General features: G+C 38.1%; 1 annotated feature.

The window, feature by feature from the left end:
• Positions 473-673: a silencer, noted in NCBI's record as "peak967 fragment used in MPRA reporter construct". NCBI's record gives its function as "represses an SCP1 promoter by STARR-seq MPRAs in K562 erythroleukemia cells {active_cell/tissue: K562}" and the evidence as "EXISTENCE:reporter gene assay evidence [ECO:0000049][PMID:32103011]".

Below are 6,398 nucleotides of genomic sequence, written 5' to 3'. Positions count from 1 at the left end.
ATCAGCTCTATATGATGTGAAGGGAATATGACCATCAGAAATAGGGGCACTCATGAAATAAAAGTGATATTATTGTAACATATATCTATTGAAGACATGCTGTATGAGTGAATTGTGTCCTCCCCAACAAAAACAATGTATACATTGAAGCCCTAACCCTTAGGGTGACTTTATTTGAAAATGGGGCCTTTAAGGAGGTAATTAAGGTGAAATGAGGTTGTGAGGGTGGGGGCCTAATCTGATTAGACTGATGTCCTTATAAGAAAAAGAAAAGCCACAAACCTCTCTCACTCTCCACCACATGAGGACCCAGTGAGAATGTGGATGGTTGTCTGCAAGTCAGGAAAAGAGGCCTCACCAGAAACCAACCTCGCTGGTACCTTGATATTGGGCTTCTAGCCTCCAGAACTGTGAGAAAATAGATTTCTGTTGTTTAAGCCACCCAATCTGTGGTATCTCGGTATGGCAGCTTGAACAGATAAATGGATATGCTCTATACCAAGCACTATGCTAGGAACTGGAACACTGTGGTAAGCAACATTTAGCCCTGAATTTCAAGAAGCTTGAGCTAGCCATGAGGCCACTGGGACATGTGAGAGTATGAACTTTTGCAAAGGGCACTGCTCCTGCACTTCTAGTGTGGACAGAGAGTGAATGAAGAACTCCTCGTCTATAGTTTGCATTTGCTTCCATCAATGCTGTCTCCTTCTTTTGTTTTCTACCTAGATATAGTTTTTTAAGCCTAGAGGCTTAATTTTAAGGCACATTGATCTGTTCTTCCCCAGGCAGTAATTGTATCTCTTGATTTCTATGTTGCATATTTTTTTCATATTTTAGTATCACTGAAAGTGAGATGCGGTTAGAGCCCATGAAGTCTTGTTAGTTGTTGTCAGCTTGGATCGAAGTCAAGTTTTTCTAAAGAGGATTTGAATTTGCTTCTGCCTGTCACATGGGTCCATACCAAACTGAGACCACTTTAAATTAAATTATCTCCTTGAAGTTTGTTGAGCCGCTTTGGTAAATTCAGATCACAAACAGCATGAGAACCTATGTGTGTTTCCAATTTTCAGGAGAGATTTACATGCCCTCCACCCAGGGCCAGGTTGAACCATCCAAAGTTTCTTCCTGAACTTCTATGCACAGAGGGTTTTTTTCTCACTTACATTTACACTGAGAATATAACTGTTTGGCATTTCCAATTTTTTCTGTTGAGGGTGATGACACCTGGAGACTCTCCATCCTAAATGTTTTCCCTTTCTTGAGAGTGCGTAAAATGTGATGCCTTTCACATAGAAGGAATTCAATAGCAATAAAACAGGGTAGTTTCTCCTTCCTCTGTGTTTCCCTAGTGCTTTATTACTTATCTGCTAACATACCTGTCTCTATCAATAACCTCTGGGCCTATGGAGATGAGAATGAAGACAGAGAAACCTCTGACTCAGCTTTGTAACCCTAGATCTTAGCAATGTTCCTGAAACATAACTGACAATTTAAATAAGTGCAGACACGTGTGGTAGCTCCCACTTATAATTCCAGCACTTTGAGAGGCTGAGGCAGGATGATTGCTTGAGGCCAGAAGTTTGAGACCAGTCTGGGCAACATAGCAAGACCCGGTCTCTATAAAAATTAAAATTAGGAACCGGCACAGTGGCTCATGGCTGCAATCCCAGCACTTTGGGAGGCCGAGGTGGGCGGATCACCTGAGGTCGGGAGTTCGAGACCAGCCTGACCAACATGGAGAAACCCCGTCTCTACTAAAAATACAAAATTAGCCAGGCATGGTGGCGCATGCCTATAATACCAGCTATTTGGGAGGCTGAGGCAGGAGAATCGCTTGAACCTGGGAGGAGGAGGTTGCGGTGAGCCGAGATCACGCCATTGCACTCCCGCCTGGGCAACAAGAGTGAAACTCCGTCTCAAAAAAAAAAAATTAAATTAAATTAAATTTTTAAAAAATTCCTGGGCATGGTAGTGCATGCCTATATTCCCAGCTCCTTGGGAGGCTGAGTGGGGAGGATGGCTGGACCCCAGGAGTTCAAGGCTTCAGTGAACTAATCATGTCACTGCACTGCAGACCAGGAAACAGAGCAAGATCCTGCTTCAAAAAAAAAAAAAGAAGAAGAAGAAAGAAATGAATAAAGACACGTATCACTCAGTCCTCTCCATCAATCTTCAGTGCAACTGGGGGAAGAGGGCTAAGATATTCTTAAATCCACAGATGCTAGAATTGACACTTAAAAACATGTTTTATTAAAAATATTTGTTGGTATATGAAATATTCAAATTATATTACTAGTGAAAATGTAGGCCAAAACAGTATGTAGTAAATATACAACTTTTAAACAATTTCTACATATTAAAATGTACCAAAATATTAAGAGTTACTTCTAAGTTATAGGCTTCTGGGTAACTTTTTATTTCTGCTTTTCCAGACTTCTAAAATATCCTCAGTGATTATGTAATAAGCACACGTGTGCACAATACATGTCATATTTTTAAAAATACAAGTGTGAGGAAAAGATGAGAAAGGAATCTTGTGTTCTTTCTGTCATCTGAAAGGAAAATCACCTTTCTTAATAAAATAAATATCTGATCCACCAATATTAGTAATATTAGTAATATTATTGGTGGACCAATAATACTGAGACCCCATAGGGGAAGAGGCAGCTAGACCTCATTTCCACTCAGTCATTCACAAATGACAGGGAGCAAAAATGTGTCATTATCTCCAGATGGGTGAGTATAAAGTTTTTTCATATTATAGTTTAATATTATATGGGGATAGGGAGGGCATGCCATTTGTTTTCATAATAGAAACTACAGAAAATAAAGATTGACCAAATCTTAGCTGACATCAGGAACTTGATTTTAAAAGTTGAGAAAGTCAACACTTGTTTCCCAAGACTCACCTTCCCCTTTGAGATCTCACACGAATTACTGCAGCTACTACTTATGCAGTCCTTAGCCACCCCTTTAACACTCAGGCCCAAATACAGACACGTGTCACTTCCATGATTTCTGTAGACCAACTGTAGGTGAGTTAGGTCAGCAAAAAATCAAATACTCAGAGTAACTACAGGGGAAGAAACGATTTACCTGGGGAAAGAATAAAAGGTATCTAACAAGGAAAGGTATATAGATATCTATAGATCTGTAGATATAGATCTATAGATATATATATTTAGAGAGAGAAAGAGAGAAGATATGGATTTCTGATGCCTTCTTTATTTTTCACAGTAGCCTTCCCTAGGTTGATGGAATTATGTGACCAGCAGAGACTCCCAAGTTTCCTCCAGAACAAGAAGTACTGAATCTCATAGTATCTGGACTTTTATTCTCTAAAACCCCTGAAGGCTGCATCATTAATGTCTAGTTCAACCTTTATTACAAAATGATGAGTGTGGAATTGCCACATGCAGCCCTAATGTCTAAATTTTATGTTTAGAATTTCTAACTATGCCATAGAGACTGGGGATTTCAACTTGACGAAAGGACTTCTCCATAGCTTAGGAGTTTTCAGGCTGAAAGGATTCCTGAGTGGCCCAGCCATAACCTACCCCAAAAGATATAGAAGATCAGAGTAAATGGAGAGTCATATTCATAAACAGAAAAACTCAATTTTAAAAAGATGTAATTTTCCCCAACTAATCTATAAATACAATACAATCTCAATAAAAATTTTGACAGCTGTGTTTTAAGATCTTATAAGCCGATTTTTTTTTTTTGAAACGGAGTCTTGCTCTGTAGCCCAGGCTGAAGTGCAGTGGTGCGATCTCAGCTCACTGCAACCTCTGCCTCCCAGGTTCAAGCGATTCTCCTACCTCAGCCTCCCGAGTAGCTGGGATTACGGGCATCCGCCACTACACCCAGCTAATTTTTTGTATTTTTAGTAGAGACGGGGCTTCACCATGTTGGCCAGGCTGGTCTTAAACTCCTGACCTCGTGATTCGCCCGTCTCGGCCTCCCAAAGTGCTGGGATTACAGGCTTGAGCCACTGCGCCCGGCCTATGAGCCTGATTTTAAAATGTATATGGACATGTAATGGACAAAGAGCAGCCAAGTCAATTTTGGAGAGAAAAGAAGACGATGCAGAAAAGGAGGAGAGATTTATTCTACTATATATTATGACTTACTAAAACTCTATAGCAATTAAGACTGGTATTGACTGGGGAATAGAAAAATAGAGCAATAAACAGAATAGAAAACCCAGATAGAGACTTATGCATACATAAAAATTTGATATATGACAAAGATTTCATTATAAATCAGTGGAGGAAATATAGATTATTTTGTAAACAGTACTGGAACAATTGCTTTATCCAAACATACAAAAAGGAGTGAAGATTCCTTCTTCTTACCACACATAAAAATAAATTAAAGATAGATTAAAGACCCAAGTCTAAAAAGAAAATCCTTTAACCTTTAGGAAGAAATGTAAAATAATATGGCTCTGATCTTCAGGTTGGGGAAGATATTTTTCAAAGGCACAAATCAAAAGGAAAAGATGGATAAATATGACTGTATTTATATAAAAGCTTGTTATACAAAACACAATAAACAAAGCTAAAAGACAAATCACACACTGTGGTAAAGTATTTGCAATGTGTGCACATGAAAAAAAAAGTCTTAGAAATCGATGAGGGGGAAAAAACAGAATAACAGAAACGTTGGCAAGATTTATGTAGAGGTAATTCACAGAATAGGAAACTCAAATGGCCAAAGAATATATGAAAAGAAGCTCACTCACACTTACAGCCATGAAAGTGCAAATACAACTTAAAACTAGGATAAGATAATTGGAAAAAATATATATATTGAATTCTACTACACTAAGTGTTGTTGAAAATTTGGATTTGCTTGTGCTAATATAAAATAACGTGAGTGGGAAATCTGACATCTAGTAAAGATGTAAATGAGCATATCTTTCAAGCCAGCAATATTTCTATACCTCTTTTAAGTAGATATATTACAATCTATAAGGAGACAAGTACAAGGGTGTTCATTATTGTATCATTTGCAGTTGCAAAAAAAAGAAGAAGGAAAGAAAATCATTTAAATGTCCAAGAGGGGAAATTTTCAAATAAAGCATATCATATTTATAAAATTAAATCCTATACACTGGTTAAAATGAATAACTAGAAATTCAGGTTTTAACATGGATAAATGTCCAAAAAAAAAAAAAACCATAATACTGAGCCAAGCAAGCAAGTTCCAGAGTGACGTGTGTGGTAAAATACCATTTCCATATAGCTTAAAAGAATTTATACAGTATATCCTTTGTAGAGAGATACATATATGTAACAGCATTTAAATATCCATGACATTGAAAAACACAAAATTCAATATAACAATTACTCTGAATAGATAAGAAGAAGAATGGAATTGAGAAATAGTACACAGGAACTTCAAATAAATCTGTAAACTTCTAAATTTATTTATTTATTTATTTTTTTGAGATGGAGTCTCACTCTGTTGCCCAGGCTGGAGTCCAGTGGTGCAATCTCAGCTCACCGCAACCTCCGCCTCCCAGGTTCAAGCAATTCTCTCCCTCAGCCTCCCAAGTAGCTGGCATTACAGGCACCCACGCCTGGCTAATTTTTGTATTTTTAGTAGAGACAGGGTTTCACCATCTTACCCAGGCTGGTCTTGAACTCCTGACCTCATGATCCACCTGCCTCATCCTCCCAAAGTGCTAGAATTACAGGCGTGAGCCACTGCACCTGGCCAATTTTTTAGTTTTTAATTGACTGAAATTTAATAGTATGTTAAAAGGTATTTTCTCTTTTACTTTAGATTCAGGGGACATGAGTGCAGGTTCAATACAAGGGTATATTGGATGGTGCTGAGGTTTGGGCTTCTAAAGAACTGATTGCCCAATTAGAGAATATAGTACCCAATAGGTAGTTTTTCAGTCCTTGCCCTCGCCTCTCGCCTTCTCGAATTCCCAGTGTCTATTGTTCCCACCTTTGTGTCCATGTGTGCCCAGTGTTTAGCTCCCACTTGTATGTAAGAACATGTGATATTTTTGGTTTTCTGTTTCTATTTTAATCTGCTTAGGATAATGGCCATCAGCTGCATCTATGTTGCTGCAAAGAACATTATTTTATTCCTTTTTATGGTTGTGTAGTATTCCATGGTGTATATGAACCACATTTTCTTTATCCAGTCCACCACTGATAGGTACCTAGGTTGACTCCATGTCTTTGCTATTGAGCATAGCACTGTGATGAATATATGAGTCTTTTTAGTATAATGGTCTATATTCCTTTGGGCATATACCCAGTAATGAGATGCTGGGTTGAATGGTAATTCCATTTTTATTTCTTTGGGAAATCTCCAAACTGCTTTTCACAGAGGCTCAATCTGCATTCCTACCAAGTGTATTAGCACTTCCTTTT

This window comes from Homo sapiens, chromosome 10 (assembly GCF_000001405.40).
Source record: "Homo sapiens chromosome 10, GRCh38.p14 Primary Assembly".
NCBI lineage: Eukaryota > Metazoa > Chordata > Mammalia > Primates > Hominidae > Homo > Homo sapiens.
This window is presented reverse-complemented; position numbering and strand designations above follow the sequence as displayed.